This window comes from Homo sapiens, chromosome 4, assembly GCF_000001405.40.
Source record: "Homo sapiens chromosome 4, GRCh38.p14 Primary Assembly".
In the NCBI taxonomy this organism is placed as follows: domain Eukaryota; kingdom Metazoa; phylum Chordata; class Mammalia; order Primates; family Hominidae; genus Homo; species Homo sapiens.
Genome location: NC_000004.12, coordinates 131,511,091 through 131,538,420, shown reverse-complemented (window position 1 = coordinate 131,538,420; position 27,330 = coordinate 131,511,091). Strand labels below are relative to the sequence as shown.

Here is a 27,330-nt window from a genome sequence, read left to right as displayed (position 1 = left end):
ACCATTTACTGAGCCTGCAATTTTTTGTTTTATTTCAGGTCTAAGGAGAACACTTTATTAAAACTAACAAAAAATGTGAGAGAGAAACTGTCAAGAAAAAAGAAAAATAATAGCAAAACTGAAGCAAGTAAATCTTGCTACAGCATTTTAAAATGATTTCTTTAATCAAGATGTTAAACTTCTGGTTATGCATTCAGATTTGTGTGTATGGGACCATTGCACGTGCATGCACACGTAGGCACACAACCTGCAGTCTTGATGACTATTCTCAAACATTTTAAACTTAGAGGAAAAAGCAAAAATATGAAACTCTTAGTGCTTTATTTTCTTCTGCATGTAGTGCTTAAAAATATATATTCACACTTACTCATCTGTGTAACATAAGAAAAATATTACATTAAAAATAATTAGAATTTCAACATTCTTTGATCTAGTCTTTTATAATCTTATCTGTTTTTCTTCTTTTTTTGTAAAAAAGATGTATAATATCCTGTGGTTAACACAAAATCTTCGAGAAAATGGTTATTGTTTTAAATCTACAGGCTTTTATAAGCAAAGGGAGTGTTGAGTAAGTGACTCACCGTTGGTTAAAAATGGCTTTTTTCTCTTCCTGTGAATGATGATATGTGTTGTAAGCTTAAGAGGATAGGTACTTAAAAGTGCAGTTTTATTTGTGTCCATTATTTTAAAAGTCTATCTTCTTTTCTATTGCAGGTTTAAAATGGAAATCTAAAGTGCAGTTTTGTTTGGCTTGGAATTTTTAATCCAGAAGTGGTATTTTATAGATTAATCTATACTTTTAAAATATCCTAGGACTGTGTCAATGTCTCTTGAGTGCTTCACTTATGTATATATATAAAAAACATAAAATCTCAACCATAAGAATAGACAATTTCCTTCACTTACAGTTTGGTCTACTTCCAGATACTTTAGTGTGTTATATTACCTGTCCTGCTGTCCAAGTCATATCAGAATCACAAATGGGCACATTGAGATAAAGCATTTAAAGCAATATTTCAAGGAATGCTTTTTCCTAGCATTAACATACCGATGATGCCAAATATTACACTATTTAGTGATTTTTATGCAAGAAACACCACATTTTTAATTTAATTATTCTTCACATTATCCCTGGTAACTTGGTAGATAACAAGTATTAATACAGCTATCTTAAAGCTGGAGAATCCACACCAAAACGATTAAGTTTATCAACATCTTTAACAGGAACAAATAAAACACCAGACAGTATGTTAAACATCTTAAAGACCAACTAGCTTGATGAACTAAATTATTCTGCCTTATAAAGAAAAAAATGGTTATTTACAGATATTAAAATGCACTGTAAAGTGTCCTTGGAGGAGCAGATGTACTTTTTAATAATGAGATACTACAATATAGTTTTCATGACACATTACCCCTGTATAACAGATAATCGTAGATTGTGATAAACATAACAACGACCTTTATATGACAATGACTTACTTAGGGTTTTTAGTAACCTGAGAATTGTGATAACAGAACATCTAAGAAAATGAACTAAGGGTAAAGTTGTGATTGAGAAAGTGGCAGCTGTCATTCATATTAACCAACATACAGAAATGGGGGGTCATTTTTGGGATTTGGGCAAATGTTCATGATTTTGTCTGTATTCATAAGTGATTGTAAACGGTCTTATTTTTCTTGGTCCTTCATGGTCACAGAGTTGTCTCGTCTGATGTTAGTATTCTGTGAAATTTTTATGTTAAAGAAGAGATCACAAAAGCGTAACTGTGTCTACCAGGCCAGCTTCTAACAACACCAAGCAAGGCCTCATTGATAGACCAAGCCAGAATAGTTTCTGCCAGGAGCTACTTTTTTCTCTTTTTTTTTTATAGTGATAAATTATATAAGCATTCCTGGAATATATTCTATTTGTTCATAATGCATTATTCTTTTTTATACATCAGTGCATTTGATTCACTGTTTTTTAAATTGTCATTTATGTTTATCAAAGAGTTGGGTGATAATTGATTTTCTCATAATATCCCTGTCTATTGTTTATAGAAATGTTATCCTGGCTTCCGAAAGTAAGTTGCAAACCATTCTCTATTTTCTATTCTATTAAACAGTTTATATAAGTTTATACTTAATTATATATATTTTAAAATATGAAAGCATTCAACAGTGAATATACATGGGCTTTTGGTTTTCTTTGTGAGAACATTTTATATTACACATTGATTTTTCTTTTCTTTTTTTTTTTTTTTTTTTTGAGACAGAGTCTCACTCTGTCGCCAAACTAGAGTGCAGTGGCACGATCTTGGCTCACTGCAACCTCTGCCTCCTGGGTTCAAGCAATTCTCCTGCCTCAGCCTCTGAGTGTAGCTATGACTACCGGCGCATGTCGCCATGCCCAGCTTTTTTTTTTTTTTTTTTTTTTGGATTTTAGTAGAGACGGGGTTTCACCATGTTGCCCAGGCTGATCTCAAACTCCTGAGCTCAGACAATCAGACTGCCTCGGCCTCCCAAAGTGCTAGGATTACAGGCTTGAGCCACCACGCCCGGATGATTTTTGTTTTCTGTAATATTTTTAACTGTTTTTTGGTTTGTTTGTTTTAGTAATTTTTCCTCACAAATTTATCCAGTTTTTATGTATGACAATATTGGCAATATGTCAAATTATTGGTATAACATTTTTTATAATATTTGCTTTCTGTTTAATATTAGTGTGGTCTGTCATTGTGTCTATTTTCATAAAAAATTTTGTTTTTTCTTTTGTTTTTCTAGATTAAGTTATAAAGGGTATAGCCAATTTGCTTGCTTAGTCTAAAAGTAACCCCTCCCTCACTTTGTTTCTTGCTACAACGTGTATTTACTACCTGTTTGCTTGAGAGTTCCAAAGACTGATCTCGAAACAGTCCAAGCATTAAGTGAAGATCACAGTTGCAATTTTCTCCCTTCTGAGAAGAAACTGGTGAACAGTTAATTCATAACCAGACCCCCACTGAGATGCTGCCAACTAGGTCAGCAAATGGTCCATTACTCAGGGTAGTCAACGGAAAACAACAAGCCGACCTGCAATCCACACCACTTCTGCACATAGTTTCCATGCCACATTTCCCCTTAAAATCCCTTTAGCCAGCCTGAGACTCTGAGATGGCTTTTTGAGATTTCAGTCTGGCCATCTCCAAAGTTGCTAGCACATAAATAAACCTGCTTTCTTTCCATCAAGTAGTGAGCAGTTGAACCTGAGTTTGGTTACAATTACCTGGCATTCAGCACAGGGTGATAGGCCTCAGGCATCCAGCCTCTCTGGTTTCAAACAGATGGAGTAATTGGCCAAGGCAGCGTCAGGACTTACCTGTACGCACTATGGGCAGAGTGACAACTGCTCACGAGTGCCAGCTGCTCATGGATAGCTGACCTCACAGCTGGGATTCTAAAGACATCCAGGAGCTGCTAAGAATTCTTTATCTCAGGTATCCTCCCTTCTTTCTCCATTGTGGCATCAGGTGCCTGCAACACTTCACTGGTGCAAGGAATACTATGATTGGGAAGCTGAAGGGCTTCAGGACTGCTTAAGCTAAACTGGTATGTACACTGAACATCCTCTGTCTCTGGCATTTTGGTTTTGTGGCATTTGGACCTAACATATGTTGTTTGCAGTACCAACTGGTTTGAGATAAGATTTATTAACTTTCCAGTCTCCCTCTATGGGAATTTGTTTGGGAGTACTCTGTTTTCTTTGATCTGTGTATTTGTGCTCCTTTGTTCCCTAACTTCAAAATGTGCAGCTCAATTTTTATTCTACCTAAGAGCCCATTGGGCCATACCCTGGCTGATTAAGAAGATTATAGCTACAAACCCATGACAAAAATAAGACTAAAACTAATTTAAGATCATTGGTTTAATGAAAACAGCTAAATCCTCTGAGTTATCGGCAAAAGCCCATCTGCTTAATGTTAAGGTTCTTACTTAGGTGAATATCTTATGTTCATAGGCATTAAAAGTGGTTAAAAATTATTTTTAATATAAAATTAATTATAAAAAGACATAAAATTATGTTTTTATTGAAAAATTGCCTAAAAATTATTTAAAGGTTAATTCAAATTGTGGACTTTAAAAGTTATAAAAAAGAAAGAAAGGTAAACATTTGTGTATATAATTAGGTTGGCTATAATTTTTAAACACATATATTTATATAACTTTTTAATGATAGTTCCCCTATGTTAAAACAAGATTTTCTTAAGGTATTGAGTTTCTCCTAATAAAATTATAAGATGTTTTTATGTTTAATTCTATAAACTGTTTTATTTATTTGACAACTTCTCAGATTCATATCTCAGACGTTCAAATTTTGCTGCTTTCAGCTTTTTCTGTCTTTGAGAAGGCCTAAGATAATAACTTTGTCCTTCAATTTTTTTATCAGTCAGCTTCTGTAATTTTTTTCCCTCTGATTCTAACTACTGTTATGGCCTGATGCTGAAATATTTTATATTAAAGGTCTAAAAAAATGGAAAAAGCAATATTTTCCTTAGTATAAATTGATTCTGTACTCTTGGCTTTATCTACATTTTTCAATGTAATCAGAAAACTTCTTATGTAGCTACTAAGAGTCATGTATTCTGCTATACTCATAACCGTATAATTAGTTCAGACCCTCCATATCAAAGATGGTCAACAGACACTTAAACAGCAGATGGCTCAACAGGTAGTGCTTATGGATATCAATTTTGTAAACTTGCTTTTTGACTCTCATGTTGTCTAAAAGGTTTAAGGGATTTATGAATGCCTGCCCACTTCCATTTCTGCCTGACCTAAAATGTTTAATTGGCTATAAGTCTTTTTGCTCTATTTCCCTTAGCCAGAGGGGCCCTACCTAGGGACAAGATAGACCTGGAGCAGGCAGCCACAACACCCTGGCAATATGGGTCAAAATAAAAGCATGGACATCAGTGCTGCCTTATCAGCACCTTTCCAGGATTTAGGAGAGACTGAGCATCTGACACCTTTAAAAGTCTGAAAAGAAAAAAAAAAAGAACCCTCCATTATCTCTGAAAACTGGTACCTGTGCAGCTTCATCTACAAAACAAGGACACTTTACTAGTCAGGCCTCTTCCTTTCTCCCTCCCAATAACCTGTCCTGAAACTAAAAGTTGTTTTTGGCCATCCTCTGAGCCCACATTCTTTCTATAACCTCATGATGTTACATAAGTTCTGTATTTTGTTGGGAGGTTGGAGTCTTCACTCTGAAGGCTCCCATATATACACAATAAATAAATTGGTATGCCCTTCCTCCTATTAGTCAATCTGCTTTGCATCAGTAATTTTCAGTGAACCTTTAGGGGGCCAAGAGTCAATGGCCCCCACAGTTTATATACTATATTTTTATACAATCATTTAGTCTCAGTAATGCTATTTGAATGGTTTTTTAAAGTTCCAATCTTCCATTAAAATTCTTCCTTTTTTACTCTAGTTTCCTATTTTTGTTTCCATTTCCTTAAACTTAATATTAAGAGATTTATTTTTTTTCAGGTAACTCCAATATTTGGATCACCTGTGGGTCTACTTTTTTCTTAATTATTAGAGATATGATCTATATAAATTTTCTATCTTCTGCCAACCATCAGATATTTTTTCTTTTTCTTTTTATTATTATTATTATTATTTTTTGACAGAGTCTTGCTCTGTTGCCCAGGCTGGAGTGCAATGGCATGATCTTGGGTCACTGCAACCTCCACCTCCCAGGTTCAAGCGATTCTCCTGCCTCAGCCCCCCAGTAGCTGGGATTACAGTTACCCACCACCACACCTGACAAATTTTTGTATTTTTTAGTAGAGATGTGGTTTCACTATGTTGGCCAGGCTGGTCTTGAACTCCTGACCTCAGGTGATCCACCCGCCTTAGCCTCCCAAAGTGCTGGGATTACAGGCGCGAGCTACCGCACCCAGCATCACATATTTTAAAAAATGTAGTGCTCCACTGAACTCATCCTGCTTTATACCTGACGCAGTAATAGCTGATCACGGTCATCCTATCAGGCAAGCTCAGCTGGAAGAACAAGCTAGATAATTGCCCCCATTGTAACTGCCCAATGGTTTCACTTTGCCCTCTGCCTAGACAGAGCTGATTTATCAGGACAGGGGGATTGCAATAAAGTGTAATTCACCCGGAGTGGGGCTGTGTGGGAGATCAGAGTTTTGTTATTACTCAAATCAGTCTCCCTGAGCATTTGTTGATCAGAGTTTTTAAGGATAATTTGGCAGGGAGGGGCTGGGGAAGTGGAGAGTGCTGATTGGTCGAGTGGAGATATAATCATAGTGGAGTTGAAGTGAGGTTTTTCTTGCTGACTTCTGTTTGGGAGTGAGATCACAGAACCGATCGAGCCAGATTTCCAATCTGGGTGGTGTCCGCTGGTGCATCAGAATGCATGGTTTGCAAAATGTCTAAAGCACTAATCTTAGGCTTTACAACAGTGATGTTATTCCCAACAGCAATTTGGGGAGGCTCAGACTCTTGCATTCGGAAGCTGCATGGCCCCTAAACCATAATTTCTAATCTTGTAGCTAATTTGTTAGTCCTACAAAGGCAGCCTAGTCCCCAGGAAAGAAGGGGGTTTGTTTTGGGAAAGGGCTGTTATTGTCTTTGTTTCAAACAGTAGACTATAAACTAAGTTCCTCCCAAAGTTAGTTTGGCCTATGCCCAGGAATGAACTAGACAGCTTGGAGGTTAGAAGAAAGATGGAGTCAGTTAGGTCAGATCTCTTTCACTGTAGTAATCATTTCAGTTATACTTTTGCAGTGGCGGTTTCAATGTTAAGGCACACCATGATAGAGACGGGAGGCAGCCAACCGTACCCTGGCAAAACCCTGCCTTCAAGCCTAAACAGCCTGAAGGCTGAAAAACCGAACTGGCTTCCCATATGAAACTCACCCTTTCCCAATTGATTGTTTCTGAATAATGTCGACCTATGCACTGGGAGGATGGGATGGGGCCTGGGGAAGTTCACTGGGGAAGTTCCTGTCATTTGCAGTGGGGAGGAGCCTGGCCTCTCCCGTTCCAGTGTGGTAACCTGAGGTTCAATCGGTGAGGCAGAGAGCTTGTTAGCAGGACTTCATCTCATTTTGCTGAGTTGTCAATTTCCACTCCTCACCCTTCTGTGTGTCTGTGAGCTTTATCTTTCCTGGTCACGTGACATGACCTGGTTTTTTTTCTATAACAATTCTACTTCCAGTTCTCCCTGGATCTCTCGAGTTTTTCACAGACATTCTTGTGTATTCGGTAAGGGCCCTTTCATCTGGTGAGTCTCCACTTTTCATTGTTATTTCATTTTATTCCACAGAATCTTTGTTCTGTTTTTCAGAAGCTTTCTCTACAGTTTTTTTCTGCTACCCAAGTAGCTCCAGTATATGTCGAACATTTGGAGGGGAAATTAATCATGAACTTGAGCTATTCAAATCTCCATGAAAGCTCTATACATGTCCTTCTCCCTCCACAGCAGCCCTCTTCCATGTTCTGGGCTCTGCAGAGGAATCTGTTACTTGCCCATGCTCAGAATTGGCAAAAATGCCTGGGATTAAAAGTCACTTCAAAAGGCAATCTTCCTTCTGAGAGTTTCTTCCTTCTCCATAATGTTCCTCCTCTAGATCTTGTTAAGAAACTCTTTGCTGCTTTCGGACAGGTGATTTCTAAATGCCATCTGGCATTTTTAGTTTTTCAAGGTGGGAGCCTTTATCTATTACCAGATATTCCAAACAACCCAGAAATAACATATAAAAATGTATTCCTTTAAAATACAAACTATTTGACAAACTTCCATCAGTGTTAGGTAGTTGACATGCCAATTTTTAACCAATTTCAGGGATTTTCACTGCCATCCTATGTTTTTTGATTGAAGGCAAGAGATCAGACTAGTGTAATCCAGTATTTATTGGCCCTAATTATCTCAGACACAGGAGTATGTTTTCAAACACTATCATGGAGTTATTTTTTACTGAAATATAAATAATATAATTTTGAATGAAGTCATTCTAATAAAGGCAATTCTATATTATAAACTCTTAAGTTATGACTGGTATGAAGAAAATGTAATAATAGTAAGGAGAGTGGTGATAATGACATTAATGATAAAATGTTCCAGGCATTGTGTATATTCCTATGTTTTGAATATTTTACTTATTTTTCATAGAAACTTTTAAGATATATATGATTAGTGTTTACATTTTCAAGTACTGAAACTGAGATTGAGGACAGTTAATTTACTTCTCATAACTATAGAATCATTAGTCTCTTTTAGATAGTACCCAGACAGCCTAATTCCATACTCTTTTAACATTAGGCTGTACAAAAAATAAATAAATAAAAAACAAGATTAGTCTCTAACCAAGGAAATAAACACTGTTTTATGTTATACATTTTCTATATTCCTAGAAGCCTTTAATAAGATGCTCCAGGTTAGCAGTTTTATTTCAACCCAAAGCATATGGATTGCTCCATTTGTGTGCTCTTGAGCAAAAGCTGAATTCAGAGGGATTTGGTAAATGAATGAAGTCACTCTCCCCTCAGGGATTGGGCAGTGCATATTCCAAAGAAGGAGATTCATAGAGAAAGAAGTCAAATTTATTTAACAAAAAAGTACATGAATATTTTGAAGAATATTAAAAACTCAACTATAATCTTACTAGATAATTACCAAGAATATGAAAATGTTAAATCTAGGTACTTAAAAGTCTCCAGGACACTTTAACCCTTGTATTTAACAGTATAAAAACAACCTCCACTTTGGATTTATGTTAGTCAATATTATATCCTTTGGTTTCTTTTGAAAGGCACCATAAGTCATGATAGACGGTAAATCTAATATAGTGACAATTTCAAAACAATTCAAACAGTTGCAGTGTAAGATCACTTTTTATGCATTTATTTGTCAGGCCAAGATTCTTTCATGAAACGCTTAACAATTATGTGAGATTTGTTGCTGTATTTCTCTAAACATTGTTCAAGTTCCTACATAAAAAAATTAATTTGCAACTGTTGCTATAATTTTTTTCTTCAAAAACTAGTAGTTACAATCTTATATTAAAAAAACACTTTTTGTCTTAAAATTGTTTCTTTTTACATCTTTAAAAAATCAACTCTATTAAATAACATTTTTAAAGTGCATATGAAAGTCTCAACCCAAAACCTTTGATGGGAGAAAAAAAAGTTTAATTTTTTTTTTAAAGATTTTGAAACAATGCCCAATAACCTAAACATGGAGACTTCTTATTTTTGCCTAGTCAAAATTCCAATTATTTTATTTGCAAAAAATCTGAATGAATGCAAAGATTTTGCATATCTCATCCTTAATAGAAGCCAGATCTGCATTTCAACCCCAGGAGGCCAGGTCCCATTGAGAATGAAATGTGAGCACAGAAAGCTCATTCTGAACCTTATTTTGGACAGTAGTCTTACAATTTTGCTGGTACTTTGAGTATTCTCAAGGTACCTGAGAATTATCCTGAAGACAGAATTTTCTCAGATAGTTATTTGTTCTGTTTTCATCAGACACACTACCATACAAACCAGAGCAAGCTTAGTAGTGGTTTCCTTATCAACTAGCATCTCTATTTAACACTTATAGTAATGATTTGAAGACGTTTTTATTTGTGATAAGAAATTAAAAAAAACTATTTCTGTAGTAAGCTATCTGCAATGCTCTAGTGTTAGTTAAACTCAGTTTGATGGATTTTGAAATAAAAAACAATCATTTATAGCCCAATCTTTTTCTTTTTCTTTAAAGCAGGGGTTCTACTGGTAATCCTTTCTAGCTATCAGCAGCAATAACAGTCAAGGAAGAAATGTTTTCTCCCAAAGAGCAAAACTTAATATTTACAACAGCAACAAAAAAATGGTACAAAAGGCCACAGAAAAACCTGTAATACTGCAATATTGATGGGATAAAAGCACATAATTGGCTCCCTTGAAAGTCTTATCAGACCGGAAATATTAGCTCACATAAAATTATCCAATTAGGTCAAGATCCAGGGAAGAAAACATTTTCTCAAAGGCATTTTTGTAGTTAAAGTCAGTAAAATAATAATCTTTACCATTCTTAATATTGTATTTCATAAACCTATATAATGAAAGAATATTCCCCTTAAACTAAAAGTATAGGTAAGTATGTTCTACATTTTCGTTTGTTAAAAATATAGTTTACTGGTTTTCTTATGATGCTTTATTTTTCTCATAATTAGCTATACAATTTTCATTTGCATTTTTTCTTTTAGCATGAATATGAGTCAAATCTGAAGGGCTCAGAACATTCAGGACATACACAAATGTGATGCAAAAAAACTTATTTATTGAAGACAATTTTGTTAGAGCTGCTGTTTCCAGGAGTCCTATGAAAGTAAGCAAAAGTTTCTGTTGTAGTAAGTGTCATACCATATAGAATTACTTTTTAAATATTCAGCTAAAATTACTTTTGTGCTTTTATTTGCTTTTTTATAAAAAGTAAGTTTTGAATTATGTGGAACACTGATTTACCTTTCAGCCTAGTAGCAGCTTCTAAATCACTTTTTATTTTTTTTTGCCTTTAGGCTGTGTACAAAAAAGCATGATTTCTGGCAGTGAATATGAGCAGCTGGTGCTAAGGTTATTAAATAAGGTGTATCCTAGATGCACTTAACTTTTTGGGAATGTTGTTACATGCAAAACATATGGGAAAGATGCCAGTCCACTTAAAGTAAGGAAAAAAATCATGCTCATTTATTTAAATTTTGTTTTAAGTGCATATATAAGTGCCTACAGATAAACTTTGCTGAAGTGAAGTTAAAATAGCATGTCCTTTAAAAAAAGTACTGTATTAAATAATTAGTTTTATCCAGAATATAGATGTCTCCAAACACTCTTTGCATAAATATTATCCAAGAAGACAATTACTGTTCACCAAGACTTGCAATTTTATAAAGATTCAGAGAGTAAAAAGTTTCCTATATACTTGTAAGAGGAAATGGACACAAGCTAAATTAATTAATTAATTAATTAATTCTTGGTATTTAAAAGTACCAAAAAAGTAAGGTTTTAAGGTTTTTTAGTTATTAAATATAACATATTCAGCACACATATGACACATATGATATGCTACTTATGTTAATTTAGTATATTTGTACCTGGACAGAATGAGATCCAGCTGCTTGCTCTCATGGTCCAATAACATGATTCAGATAGACTGGAAAAGAAGGGAGTTTATTTCAGCAACTGATTACAGCTAGAAGGTTGGAGTAACTCATCAGACCAATTAAAATTTACAAGTTTTTGTTCTAGTGCTTGTATACATTTTAGACATGAAGTCTACAAGTGGGAGTGCACCTACAAGCAGGAGTGTTTCATTCAATCTATATCTAATCTTTAACTGGGATCTGGGGTCTGGAAAGCTTTCTCTAGAGTCTTAGAAAGTTTCTTAATTTTAAGTGGGCCCTGGTACAAAGTGCATGTCTAAGAAAGCTTGTATTATTTGGTCAGACTTTAAGGTCTGAGAAAACCCAGGTGGGGTCTTAATGGATTTGTTTTTACATTGCAGCCCTTGTACTCCCACGCACATTCCTCCAGTTCTTTAATGTTTGACTTATGCAGTCATCAAAATTATAGCAAAGGGTTAGTGGAATTGATGTAGTTACCAATGGACAAAATGATAAAGGAAATATGGTATATGTATATATAATTAAATACTATTTGAAATAGTTATCAATGGACAAAATGATAAAGAAATATGATATATGTATATACAATTGAATACTATTTGGATATAGAAATAATGAAAACATGTCATTTGCAGCAACATGCATGAAACTAGAGGTTGTTATGTTAAGTGAAATAACCCAGGCACACAAAGGCAAATATTGCATGTTCTTATTCAGATGTGGAAGCTAAACAATGTTGATACCTGGAGCAGAGCAAGCTTCTCTAACCTGGGTCCCGAAGGCTGCATGGGGCCCGCAGGCTTCAGGCAGCCCAGGATGGCTTTGAATGCGGCCCTAGACAAATTTGTAAACTTTCTCAAAACGTTATAAGGTTTCTTGTGATTTTTTTTTCTTAGCTCATCTGCTATCAGTAGTGTATTTTATGTTTGGCCCAAGACAATTCTTTTTCTTCCATTGTGGCCCAGGGGTGCCAAAAGATTGGATATCACTGGAGTAGAGAGTAGAATGATAGTTACTAGGGTCTGGGAAGGGTGTGGGTATGTGTGTGTTAGTGGAGGTGAATGAAGAAAGATTGATGTAATGGGTACAAACAGAGTTAGATAACAGAATTAAGTTCTAATGTTCAATAACACAGTAGGGTGACTATAGTTGACAACAAGGTATTGTATATTTCAAAATAGCTAGGAGAGCACCTGAAATGTTCTCAATATGTAGAAATGCTAAGTGTTCAAGGTGACAGATATCCTAGATATCCTGAGTTGATCATTACACACTCTATGTATGTAACAAAATACCATATGTACCTCATAAATATACACAAACATTATGTATTAATAAAGAAGATAATATAAAAATTCCTGTAAAGATAAAATATGTAGTATTTAAAAATATAAAATGATTATATGTCATGAATATTCCTAAACTGAAAATAGTGTTTTCTATTAAAATGCCTTTTTAAAATACTTATAATGTAGTTAATGTTTTTAGCCATTGCACCTTATCAAGAAAACAACATAAAGACACACATAAGGAAACTTATAAAGAAAATGTATTTATTTGTAAGAAATACTGTATTTTTAGACTAGGTTAATTAGGTAAATGCTATACTTTTAAGCAAGGTTACATGTTACATTTTTATAAAATTGTTTTGTATAATATTTATTTGATTGCAATTGTTTTTTGACATTCAGAAAATGATACTTTTTATGTGTTAATTTTAACTATCTCCCTCAGTATAAAAGTATTATGCTCACTGATGTCATAATATAAACTTCTACTGGTTATTAGCATAATTTTATATATTTTGTTGAAATTTCTCTTGATATGTACCACTTGTTATCAGACTTTGGAAATATCTACATATAGAGATAGTGTATTTTTTTAAATAAAACTTGCTACTCTTATGCTTAAAATATTTGCATGAAAGTATCTCTATATGAAAAATGTGACTCTCTAAGAGTGGTACATTAAAATTACCAATGTGAAATAAATCTGTTTTGCACCACTCAATTAAGTAAGTAAAACACTTTTTTAATGTATCTTTGACTTCTGATAATATGAAAAATAAATTATGGAATCAAGGGCAATGACCTTTGAGCCTTACTGATCCTCTCATAGAACAGAAAGTATAAAGAGAATGTTTCCTGCAGCACATGAATGTGTAGAGAATAAAGAATTTCTGAGACTGTGTTGTGTCTTTAAAATAGATTTTTGCTTTCCATAAGATATCGACAGTATTTATTTCAAAGTTTTTTCTAATTATTCATAAAAAATTACTCGTTTCAATAATTTTATTCATTTTGTTTATAGTTATGATAGCATTCTTAATAGTTTTAGAAAATTAGCATATGACAAATTGTATAGAATAAAAAACATTTGTGATGAAATATTTGAAGTATTGAAGAGATACAATTAGAAGAGATGTTGTCAAATGTATTCATTTATGTTTCTGAATAACTCAGGTGAGGTTTATGTTGCAGATTAAAAAACAAATAAAATATTTAGATTTTTAAACTCTCTAACTTATATAGCATTAATTATTTTAATCACTATATGTACATTTAGGCTTAAAAACAGAAGCTGTAAGGCTAAAAAGCACAAAAGACCCAATTACAACACATACAACGGCAGATCTAAAAATACTGTTATCTTTCAAAAACCATGGGAAATTGGTTTCAGGCTTTCCCCCACACAAGGATACTCAGGGATGCTCAAGTACCTTTTATAAAATGGAGTAGTACTTACATATAACAAACACACACTCTCCAGTATACTTTAAATCATCTCTAGATTACTTATATTACTTAATACAGTGCAAATGTTATTTAAATAGTGGTTATACTGTATTTTTATCTGTATTATTTTTATTGTTTTATTGTTAGTTTTATTGTTTTCCCCCAATATTTTCAATCTGTAGTTGGTTGAATACATGGATACGGAATACAGATATAGGGGGCCAACTGTACTTCAAATCATTTCTAGATTACTTAGAATTCCTAATACAATGTAAATGCTATTGAACTTGTTGTTACACTTTCTTTTAAAATTTGTTTTTTTGTTGTTGTATTTTAAAATTATTTTTATTTGTAAATATTTCTCATCTGTTGTTGGTTGAATCTGCGGATGTGGGACCCACAAATACAGAGGGCCAACTGTATATATTCCCTAGACCCCATTGATTGTTTCCCTCTTACACTGCTCAGACTCAGAGACAAAGCTGTATAACCTTATTAAATTCTGCATAGTAGAGAAAATAGTGAAGTTTAAGAAGTATATATGTTTAAATCTGCCTTTGGATGTGTTGTCTCTGGTCAAGAATGCATTGATAATCTCTGGGAGGTAAACCTAAGAGTAAGGTCCAGCCTCAGGGTTGTCAAAATTGTTGACTGGAGAATCCCATTATAATATCTTCAACTGTCTATCTTAGTATAGAGGTTTTACACTTGTATTTTTACTTTAAGGTATTCCATTTAGCAGCATTGAATATCAGACACATCCTTAAGGAGATTATCAACAAGGATAGAGTACTAATACAATTTGGGTCAGCAGGGAAATACTGTGTTCATTTATATTGTTGAACCTTTTTAAGTTGTCTACAAAATTGCCACTCAATGTATTCAATTGCTGCCACAATTTTTGGATATAAGACCACTGATGTCTTTATGACTTTGCAAATTGCTCAATAATTTATTTTCGGGGAGATGATTGAATTTTGTTTTTGGTAGGAGCTCAAAGAAAAGCATTAACAAAGAGCAGGACCTTCAGATTATAATACATATGGAATATAAACAATAATAGTAACATTAGTTGTTTATTATGCTAGTCATATCACTTTCTGGGTCAAATAATTATCCCCAAAACTCATAATAGAATTTGTATTATTTTGATTTTCATTTTAGATATAATAATATTAATGTTGATAAAGTTTATAAATTTCTAATAATCACATATCTAATAAACCAAGAAGGCAGGATTCAAACTCATGAAACCTGAATTATCAAGTCTTATCAAGAATTATCAAGAATTATCACCTGAATTATCACCTGAATTATCAAGAATTATCACACTTTTAAATGTTATATAATATGAAAATAGTGGCAGATAACTGAAGACAAAGAAACAAGATCAAATAATATCAGTAATCTGATGAAATTAATTATTTTACAGATCATAATAATATATAAAGGTTTTTTATACTGCATGAAAATTATATATTTGTATCTGATACAATGAACAAACAAGGCTCATACCATGGAAACATGAGCAATTTTCTCTTTTTACTCAAGATGTATTCAGAATAGTGATTCAAGGTGGCTCACTAGAGGCATCTGGCATTCATCTGCTCCACAAAGAAAAAACAAAAATAGTGAGTTGATAATTATACTTCAAATAGAGTTTCAGGAAGGAACACTAGAATTCAGCAGAGAAGTGACAGAAAAGACCTCAGGCATTAAAGAGGGAAAGTGAGGTAGCTAGCCCCAAAGCTCCCTAGCAAAGAGAAAAGATATGTGAGAGAGCCTGGTAGTCCACATTCCCACTGCAGACTCCTGCAATTCTAGTCATGAGAGAGAGACACCCCCTAAGACTTGTGGGCCCTGAAACTAGGATAGTGAACTGCCTGGGGTATACATGATGGAAATGTTTCAGAGAGGGAGTTCATGCTGGGTCCCACATGCCCCACATCTGAAGATGGGATTTTCCATAAGAAGAGACAAAGAAGGTTACTAAATAATGATAAAGGGGGTAAATTTACAAAATAATATAACAATTTTAGATATATGTGCAACCATCACTGGAGCACCCAAACAATAATAAGGAAATATTATTAGAGCTCAAGAGAGAGACAGGACTCAATACAATAGTAGCTGTAGACCTCAACACCCCACTTTCATCATTGGACAGATCTTCCAGACAGAAAATCAATAAACATTGGACTTAATCTGCACTATAGACTACATGGACCTAACAGATATTTACAGAACATATCATCCAAGAGCTGCAGAATACACATTCTTTTCCTTAGCACATAGATTATTCTCAAGGATAGACCATATGTTGAGTCACAAAACAAGTCTTAAAACATATAAAAAAAACTAAAATAGTTTTAAACCTCTTCTATGAACACAATGGAATAAAACTAGAAAAAATAGCAAGAGGAATTTTGGAAACTATACTAACTAATACATGAAAATTAAACAATATGCTCCTGAATGACCATTGGGTCAATGAAGACATTAAGAAGGAAATTGAAAATTTTCTTGAAACAAATGAAAATGGAAACACAATATACCAAAATGTATGGTATACAGCAAAAGCAACACTGAGAGGAAAGTTTATATCTATAAGTGCCTACATCAAAAAAGAGAAAAAGCTTTAAAAAACAATCTAATAATGCATCTTAAAGTTCTAGAAAAGCAAGAGTAAACCAAGCCCAAACTTAGTAGAATAAAAGAAATAATAAAGATTGGAGCAGAAATAAACAAACTGAAATTAAAACAATACAAAAGATCAGTGAAAGAAAAAGTTGTTTTGTTTTTAAAGTTAAACAAAATTGACAAATCTTTAGCCATACTAACTTAGAAAAAAAGAGAAAATCCAAATAAATAAAATCAGAAATGAAAAAATGACACTTTACAACTGAACTGCAGAAATTCAAAATATCATTAGTGGCTACTATGAGCAACTGTATACCAATAAATTGGAAAATCTGGAAGAATAGACAAATTCCTAGATACACACCACCTATCAACATTGAACCAGGTAGAAATCCAAAATCTGAACAGAACAATAACACATAACAGGATTGAAGCTGTAATAAAAAGTCTGCCAGTATAGAAGAGCCTGGGACCTGATGGCTTTACTACTGAACTCTACCAAACTTTTGAAGAAGAATTAATACCAATACAACTCAAACTAGTCTTAAAAATAAAAGAGGAGGGAATATTTCCAAACTCACTCTACACGGCCACTACTATCCTGATACTAAAACCAGACAAAGACACATCCAAAAAGTAAATAAATAAATAAAACTGCAGGCCAGTAACTCTGATGAATATTGATGCCAAAATCCTCAAGAAAATACTAGCAAACCAAATTCAACAATACATTGGAAAGATAATTTGTCATGACAAAGTGGAATTTATCCCTGGGATACAAGGATGGTTTGAGATATGCAAATCCAATCAATGTGATATATCAACAGAATGAAGGATAAAAATCATATGATCATTTCAACTGATGTCAAAAAAGCAGTTGATAAAATTTAACATCCCTTCATGATAAAAGCCCTCAGAAAATTGGCATAGAAGGAACATACCTCAACATAATAAAAGCCATATATGGCAGACCCACAGCTAGTTTCATACTGAATAGGGAAAAACTGAAAGTTTTTCCTCTAAGATCTGGAACACAACAAGGATGCCCACTGTCGCCACTGTTATTCAACATAGTACTGAAGTCCTACCTAGAGCAATCAGACAAGCGAAAGATATAAAGTCTATCCTAATTGGAAAGGAATAAGTCAGATTTTCCTTGTTTGCAGATATTATCATCTTAATTTGGAAAAACTGAAGACTTCACAAGAAAACTGAGAACTGATAAATTCAGTAAAGTTGCAGAATACAAAATCAACATACAAAAACCAGTAGCATTTCTATATTCTAACAGTGAACATTGTGAAAAAGAAATTAAAAAATCCCCTTTATAATAACCATATATAATATTATATATCTAAAAATTAACCAAACAAATGAAAGATTTCTACAATAAAAACTATAAAACACTGACGAAAAATATTGAAGAGGACAACAAAAAATCTTCCATGTCCATTGATTGGAAGAATCAGTATTGTTAAACTGTCCAAACTACTGAAAGCAATCTACAGATTCAATGCAATCCCTATCAAAATACCAATGATATTTTTCACAGAAGTAGAAAAAAAAATCCCAAATGTATATGCAACCACAAAAGACCCATGATAGCCAAAGCTATCCTAACTAAAAAGAACAAAATAAGGAATCACATTACCTGACTTCAAATTATACTACAGAACTATAGTAACAAAAACAGCATGCTACTGGCATAAACACAGACACATAAATCAATATAACACAATAGAAAATGCAGAAACAAATCCACATACCTATAGTGAACTCATTTTTGACAAAAATTGCCAAGAACATACACTGGAGAAAAGAGAGTCTCTTCCTCAAATGGTGCTGGGAAAAATGGATATCCATATGTGGAAGAATTAAACTGAACCCTATCTCTCATCATATACAAAAATTAAAACAAAATGGATTAAAGACTTAAGTCTAAGCTTTCAAACTATGAAAGTACTGCAGGAAAACATTGGAGAAGCTCTCCAAGATACTGGTCTGGGCAAAGATTTCTAGAGCAATACCGCACAAGTACAAGTGAGCAAAGCAAACATGGACAAATGGGATCACATCAAGCTAAAAAGCTTTCGCACAGTAAAGGATACAATCAACAAAGTGAAGACAACCCACAGAATGGGAGAAAATATTTCCAAACTACTCATCTGACAAGTGATTAATAACCAGATTATATAAGGCTCAAACAACTTTATGGGTAAAGATCTAACAATCAAAGAAATGGGCACAAGAATTGATGAGACATTTCTCAAAAGAAGACATACAAATGGTAAACAGGCATATAAAAAGGTGCTCAGCATTGCTGATCATCAGAGAAATGAAAATCAAAACTACAATGAGATATGATCTCACCCCAGTTAAAATAGCTTACATTCAAAAGACAGGCAATAACAAATGCTGATGAGGATGTAGAGAAAAGGGAACCCCAGTACCTTGTTGGTGGGAATGCAAATTAGTACAACGACTATGGTGAACCCTTTGGAGGTTCCTCAAAAAACTAAAAATTGAGTTACCATATGATCCAGCAATCTCACTGCTGGGTATATACCCAAAATAAAGGAAATCATTATATCAAAGACATTTCTGCACTCCTATGTTTGTTGCAGCACTGTTTACAATAGCTAAGATTTGGAAGCAACCTAAGTGTCCATCAATGAATGGATATAGACAATGTAGTATTTATACACAAGGGTATATTATTCAGCTTTAAAAAATAATGTGATCCTGTCATTTACAACAACATGGATGGAACTGGAGGTCATCATGTTAAGTGAAATAAGTCAGAAAGACAAACATTACATGTTCTCATTTATTTGTGTGATCTAATAATTGAAACAATTGAACTCATGGACATAGAGGGTAGAAGGATGATTACTAGAGGCTGGGAAGGGTAGTGGGGTCTGGAGGGGTGGTAGAGATGATTAATGGGTACAAAAAATAGAAGAATGAATAAGACCAACTATTTGATAGCACAACAGGGTGACTATAGTCAATAACAACTTAACTGTACATTTTAAAATAACTTAAAGGTTGTAATTGGATTGTTTGCAACTCAATGGATAAATGCTTGAGGGGACGAATACCCATTCTTCAAGATGTGCTTATTTCACATTGCATGTCTATATCAAAACATTTCATATACCCCATAAATATATACACCTAATATCTACCCACAAAAATTAAAAAACAAATAGAGAGAGAGAGGAGAGGTAAGGAAGGAGAGGAAGAAAGAGAAAAAATTACCACAAAAATGTATATTATATGAGAAGTCATCTCATATGAAAAGGCATAAATATATTAATTTTATAGATAACTGAATATAAAATAAGTCAATATTCAGTAAATAACATTTGCTGTTGAAATAAGATATGAAAACATAGTGGTAAAAAAATAAATATGTTGAAAAAGCAGGTATGGGCCACATAATAAAGAATTATGTATGTGATGCCATCTTCAGAAGAATGGAGAACCAAAGAGAGTTTTAAATCTGGAAAGTTTCATCTTCATAGTTATATTTTTAAAAATATTTGAGAGAATAATGCATAATGATGTTATGAGAGGTAAAACTGGTAGCAGGAGAAAATGTCAAGCAGTAAACATGATATTCTAATTTTTCTAATGAAAAATGAAGAAAACTAAATTTCAGCGGCTGTCAAAGGCTGAGAGAGAAAATAACTCAAGAAATATTGAGAAAGTAAATTTTATAGGTCTCTGAAACAAATTAGATGTTTGGTGTTAGATTTTAAAATGTATTAATTATATAAATGTGTATGTATATAGTTTTCATGAGATGCAGAAAACCACTCTTTTTCTTTTTTTCTGACAATGATACCAAATTTTCTTTTATAACAACAGTGCTTTAAACTATTCTTACGAGTCCCTTCAATGTGTATTCCAGCAGATGCTGTCTATGTCTAACTAACTCTGTAAGCTCCTTTTTTGATTCCTCTGCCTGAAGATTTTGTCTCCACTGAAGCTTGGTCCACCTCAATGCAGTAGACTGGTGGGCAGATGGAGTATAGCATTGTGAGAAGGAAGTAAATGTCATGGGGTCCTTATGTGAGATGATACTGAAGTTTCTTTTTAGAAGTTTCTTAGCAGGATTCAGGTCTATTTACCTCTAGCAATAACTCACTCATCAATATATTCTTTACTGGTTTTCCCTAAGCCCTGTTTCTCTTGTCTAATTTCTCACTTCTGCTTCCTGGCATCATCAACCAAAAGAATTACCTGCACCCAAGCCCTGGTTTCAGGCCTTATTTGGAAGGAATTCAAAATGAAGACCAGTATCAATTGCATTGCATTGATCTTGCTATAAATAAGAGATCCCTTAATAGGTATGAAAGTAAGGCAAGATATAAAAGTTATTATCGTTGTAAAATCTATGACTAAAATGGATTGAAATTTACAGAACTCCAGAAAAATATTTGATTTAAGTTTGGAAACCAGTTTGTGCACTAACTTGCCATCATATATTATAATTAACTATTTAAGATTAATTTTCACCATTTCTAGAAAATCACACTTTCCACAGTCTCCATGCTTTTGAAAAATTAGAAGTAATATTATGAAACAAAAGAGACATTTATTAATTTCATGACTAAGATATTATAAAACACAGCTATGTGGAATATTCCTTATATAGGCACTTAAGTAATATGTCTTTACATTTTTAGCACTGCTTTTCATTTCTTTTAACCTGCTATAAGTATAGCTTATAAAGTTACCTTACATAAAATATTATACAAAACTTTCAGTAAAAATATAACCAAGAAAATATTGATTTGACTTTAATAATGACTCATAGAATTATAATATTTTACATTTCTAAAACCCATCAAAATTTTTGAGCAAAGGGAACCTTTACAGTCAGTCCAACATTCCACTTAAATTTAAGTCACAATTATTATTAAGAGCTCACTAGGAACCAAACTGGCAGAAAAAACTCTTTTCCTAAATACATCTCAATAAGCTTAAGTGTATGCTAGTATTTGGAAATAGACCTTACATTTCATTTTATTCTCTGGTTGTGTGCACAGCAACAATTCACTTGTAGTTCCAAAATTTATTTCCATTGAGTTTTATATTTTTTTGTATATATATATCTTGTTTTGTATTGCTTCTTTTCTTTAATATTCTTTTGAATAAAATTTTTTAATGGCTTGTCATCTTCTTGATAGCATGAGACATTGTTGAAACAAATGTTTCTTGCTTCCATTGTAAATAAAATAAATGGGTCATTTGCTGGGTTAATATGGAATATTTATATCAACTATGTCACATGTAACTGCTTTCCTTTGTAAATGATATACAAACTTGCCATGAAAAAGATCAATTGTGTAAATCAACTATCAAGATTAAATTTATCAAATCTTTTTATTTTAATGGAATTTTATTGGCTGACTTTAGAAAGTTTTCTCATTAAAACAATCTTTGCTCTCCTTGATTATATGGCTTCAGAATGTTGGAATTTTAAAGCTATATTTGCATAAACCTAACCATGGTTGCCTATCAAATATTTTCCAAAAGCTTCTCAATAATATTGCCATTTATTTTCTTTTCCATGGGGATGCAGCAGACACATCATGCAGCCAATAGGAAATAATTTGTCAGCCAAACCACATTCCAACCTAATTATGCCCACCTGGTACAGAGGAACTCTACACATGTGCAAAGAGTGATGAAATGAATATGCTGTCTTTTTTAATGCAATCAACAGTGATATTCAAATGTGATTCTTTGCTTGCTGTTAAGTTTTATTAAACACAATGAAAAAAATGAAAACAAGGTTTCCAAGTGTCATAAAAAAGATTAAAGCACAAAATACAGGAAATCCCTCATAAAATCCATGAAACATTCTAAATCTAGAAAAATTCATCTTTGATTAGGGAAAGAAACAATGCTAAATTTTCTCAAAAGGAAGTTTACAATTTTCTAACAAGATACATGGTAATATATTCAAGCAAATTTTTTTTAAGCTGCTTGCTTCTAATGTTATTTGCTTGATGAATAAAAAGTCCATTATTTTTCATCAGTATGCTGGATGTCAATTCTATTTTTTGCCTGGTAAGTTATTTCACCTGAAAGCTGTTAAATGGCACATAGACATCTGTGTTGTCCTGCCGATCGAGAGTCCAAGTGTTCTGGCAGGCATTCAAAATGATTAGCAATAGAAAATCTCATTTGGAAAAGAGAACATTCATAGAGACTTGAGTTCAATGACTTTCCTTTGTGTCTAAACTGCAGGACTAAGAAGTTTTCACTTTTAAATATTAAAAACACACATCTTGAGAGTAGATGTTGATAGTGTTGATGCTTTTGTTAATGAATAACAGCTTTTTATTTGTGTTCTCTCTAAAATGTTGGCATCCAAAGAACTTTGCAATATGCCCACTACATTGCTTTCCAATTTTTCCCTGAGGCACCCATACATTTTATATCATTAAACTATTTTGTTATTTACTCAACATTTTTAAAGCTTATTTTAAAAGTTTTAGGCATTTTAATGTTCAAGCGTTTTTTTTTTTCTTCTCTTTTTATGCCCGGGTCATCAAGATTCCTAGTGTCAGAATTCTCCCCAAACTTGGTAAGACTTACATATTTAAGTTCTGATTACACTCTGAAGTTTTGACCTAACTCTAAAAGTCTTCTCAGATTTCATTATGTGATGTCCATTGATTCAATTATTCTCCATTAATGTATGTAATCTTTAGGTGAATATTTGTGGGGTTATAATTAAATTAATGGTTGTCTGGCAAAATATATGTTTTCCAAAATATTCAGCACCACTCCCTGTGAGATGATAATGCATACCAATCATTCATCTCAGGCATCATCAAGTGACTTGCTTTGGCCAGTGACATGTGACATTCATTTATCACTTCTGAACATAAATCTGAAGAGCCAGTTTATGGTGGAATTCTTTTCTTTCTGCTCTGCCTTGATAACAGAAGAAATGTTCTAAAGAGAGATTGTTGCATTGACTTGGGTCCTTCAGAAAAACACAATAAATAATAAAACCATAGCCAAATCACTATAGACATATACAGTAAATGAGAACAAATATTCATCATAAGCCACTGAAATTTAGATGTGTTTGATATAGCTCCTTAATGTGGCCTGTTCTGACAGAAACAGAAATCACTATTTGAAGAGTGATAAGATCTCAGGGGGAGAGGCTCTTTTTTGGCAAACAGGGTGATATAGCAGAAAGCACTTGTATCCAAATCCTGTCTCTACTTTTTAAATACATTTGTTCTTTTGCAAATTAATTGATTCTGTGGGCCTAAGGTTTTATATCTGAGTAAAGTTTACAACAGTAAATATCTCTGTTATCCTGAAGAAAAATGATTTCACTCCCAGCAAGAATGATAATCATTTTAATACGTAGTTACACAATCATTTTAGCTGCTAGAAACTCTGTACACATGGTCTAGTGTGTTGTACGCCAGTTCAGAGAGAAAATGGTAGAAAGATTCTTCCTTCCTTATTTATATTATCTGTCCCATATAGTTAATGAAATGGATGGCCTGTGTTGAAAAATCCTGGCTATTACTTGCACAAAGTGTTACACCTATGACATCACACAACTTACTAGATTTTCACAATAGAATCTTAGAACAAGGGATAAAAAGACTGATTGAATTCAGTTATAGTGACAAGCTCATTAGTACCTAGCAATATTACCTACAATAGCACTAAAGCAAAAATGGAACAATGCAAAATAGAATTCTGTGAACAAAACCTTCTTCTTGAAAAGAAAGTACACTGCTTAAGCAAAATATGATAGTAATCTATCTGCCTATTTGAGATTGCTTCTTTGATATATATGATTTCAGTTTAAATATTTTTTCAGGGATATTGTTATCTGGTCTTTCTCATGGCATTTTTCAAAAAAGCATCTGAAAATCAGTGCCAATAACAGCCAGGAAGGATATACATATACATGAATAATGAAAAAGTGTGGTAAATTGGAAAATTGAAATGCCAGCTCAATGGGATTCCAGCTATTTAGTTCCAAAAACTGTTTCTTGTTTAGTTTTTATAGAAATGAAGAAATAAGGATTCCGTGTCACCAGATGTACTAGTTCATTTTCACGCTGCTATAAAGAACTACCTGAGACTGGGTAATTTCTAAAGGAAAGAGGTTTAATTGATTCACAGTTTAGCATCGCTGGGGAGGCCTCAGGAAACTTATAATCATTGCAGAATGCAAAGGAGAAGCAAGGCACCTTCTTCATAAGGTGGCAGGAAGGAGAAGTGCTGAGCAAAGGGGAAAGAGCTCCTTATAAAACCATCAAATCTCGTGAGAGCTCACTCACTACCACGAGAACAGCATGGACGACACTGCACCCCATGATTCAATTAGCTCCACCTCGTCTCTCTCTTGACATGTGGGGATTATGGGGATTACAATTCAAGATGATATTTGGGTGAGGACACAAAGCCTAATCATATCACCAGATAGTCCCCTTTTTATTTAAGTAATAAAACTATATACATTTATATGGAATCTTCTAATTTTAAATTTTGCCAAGTACTTAATTCTTTTTGTAAGATGTAATTCAGCTGTGTGTAAACTAAACAAAAAACCAGATACAGTCTTCAAATGCAGTTTATAATCATGAGTTTATGGATTTATAATGAAAAGTATATGGAATTATATGGAAACAGTTAATACTAGAAAAAATAATTATCTCCTGGTACAACTTTCATTGGATTAAGAAAACCCTCATTGATATACATTTAAAAGACAGAGGTCTGAGGTCACTTTCTAGTATGTAACAAATTTATTTTTTCTGCCTTACAAGTAGAATACGTATGAAAATAGAGTTGTTTGAGAAACCATTTCTCTACTGGCTGCTGCTTCACTGTTTGATCTTACCATGTCTTACTCTTCTCCTCTCACATTTACTTTATTTCCATTGTTTAAAAACATCAAATTTTTGTGCTAGAGACTTCGCCAAATTTTTTCTGGGGCAGCACTTCTCCCAGAGCTTGAAGTGACTATTACTGCTCATCATTTAGGTTACAACTATTCAAAAATATCTTACCTGATCACTCTATCTAAAATAACACTGTCACATTGACTAGTTTTTTGTTTGTTTTGTTTTCATGCTTTGTTATTATGTCCTTATTTGGTCTTAGTTTGCCTTTTATTTTTTACTTTTCAGTCTCTATACATGCACTTAAGCTTGTGATACAAAGGAGGTTTTCTAATACACACAGCCTTAGCCTCAGATAGAAGAGAGTTTGAGGGTGTGTGTGTGTGTGTGTGTGTGTGTGTGTGTGTGTATGTATTATTTAAGCACTGAATAAAATTTGTTTTGGGTTAATATGTCCTTCCATGCTGATGTCATGATTAAATATGCAACATCCAGAAATCAGTCTGAATTTCCTCACTCATGAATTAAAACTACCTGTTGAAAAACTATAGTTTCTGCTATTTTATAATGTTTCTTGATCACTACTTGATATGTAAAATTTTTCTCTACTTGATATGTAGAATTTATTTGATTTGAAGAGTGTTTTATATACTGACACTTGACATTAGGGGGAATCTATTGGTTACTAACAATAGCAAAATGTAAAAATCCATCTGACAATATTTTACTATTTATGATTAAGAATAATTTGTCTCACTATTTCAGAATATTTGTCATTTGGCTCTACAACCTTGACAACTATATTATAATCATTCAAGTAAATAATGATGATGATGATGTTTGTGACTTATTCCAGAGTTTCTGATAAAATTGGCCAGGAGTTAAAGTTAGCCTGCTGTAGTACTTAGAAAAGCTCACTCACGTAATTGTAGCCAAAACATGGGATCATGAGAACAACTTGCTTATTAGAAGACAAGTTGATGCCACTGCCAATAAGTCTAACCAGGGAGGGTAGGCAATGCTGATTCTTTTGATATTTTTAAAATTAAGATCATTATAAGGACGTAGCATAACATTGCAAAATATTTCAGGAATATATGGAGTTTTTGAGCCTTAAGCATTTTTAAAATCGAAACTGCTCATTTGAACTAGAAACTTCCTTTCTGTTTGTGATGCTATCAGGCATCACATAACAAACTCCAAGCTTTCACTAAGTCAGATAATTCTTTATCTTCTTTATGATTTTTAACATACTATGTCTAAAAGAAGCTCGAATTCCTTTCAGGTCGTAATGTTTCTCCACACCTTGCTTCTAGTTGATAGGAAGGGTGTATCTAATTTTACATATAGGTTAAGGGATTATGTTTTTGGTAACATGAAAATTTAATTTTGCTTTAGTTTAGTTCTAGTCCTTACATGGTAGTAGTCTATCTTATTTTAGCATTTTTCAAAACTAATAAAGATATGTCAGTTCATGCTTCTTAATTATTTGTAATATAAACATCCACATACACATATATTTAAGAAATTTTCACCTGAGTTAAAAAGTTAAAAAAAAGTTTTTTTTTATTTTAAAATAAACTTTTCTACTGTTTCACAGAAGAAAAAAAGAGTCATTAATTAAAAAAACCCTCTAAGCAAAGGCACTCAATACATAATGCATTCAACACAATATGCAATAAAATTTACCCAATACATAAGGGAATACCAAAGTGGTAGAAACTGTTTATTAGTACTTATACAAACTTCTTAATCCATCACAATATTAGACATCATGATTATGGTTTCTTATTATAACATAATGAAACATCTTTTTTCAAAGATATAAGGGGAAAATATGGAACAAGATAAAAGTTATTAAAGCTACTCTGAATAAAGTAGATATGACAG

General features: G+C 33.1%; 1 long non-coding RNA gene across 33 annotated transcripts in view; it reads right to left on the bottom strand.

The window, feature by feature from the left end:
- The window catches only part of LINC02377 (long intergenic non-protein coding RNA 2377), a 338,568-nt gene that overhangs the window by 179,904 nt on the left and 131,334 nt on the right, over positions 1-27,330 (bottom strand). For 10 of the 33 annotated variants that reach the window (NR_183919.1, NR_183917.1, NR_183927.1 and 7 more), the window contains one exon: positions 11,133-11,191. The exons of 7 other annotated variants lie outside the window; for them this stretch is intronic. This is a non-coding gene — a long non-coding RNA (long intergenic non-protein coding RNA 2377). Of the gene's footprint in view, positions 1-10,177; positions 11,192-15,412; positions 15,502-27,330 lie in introns of those variants that run through there. 16 more of the 33 variants (NR_183945.1, NR_183952.1, NR_183940.1 and 13 more) reach the window with 5 other exon arrangements.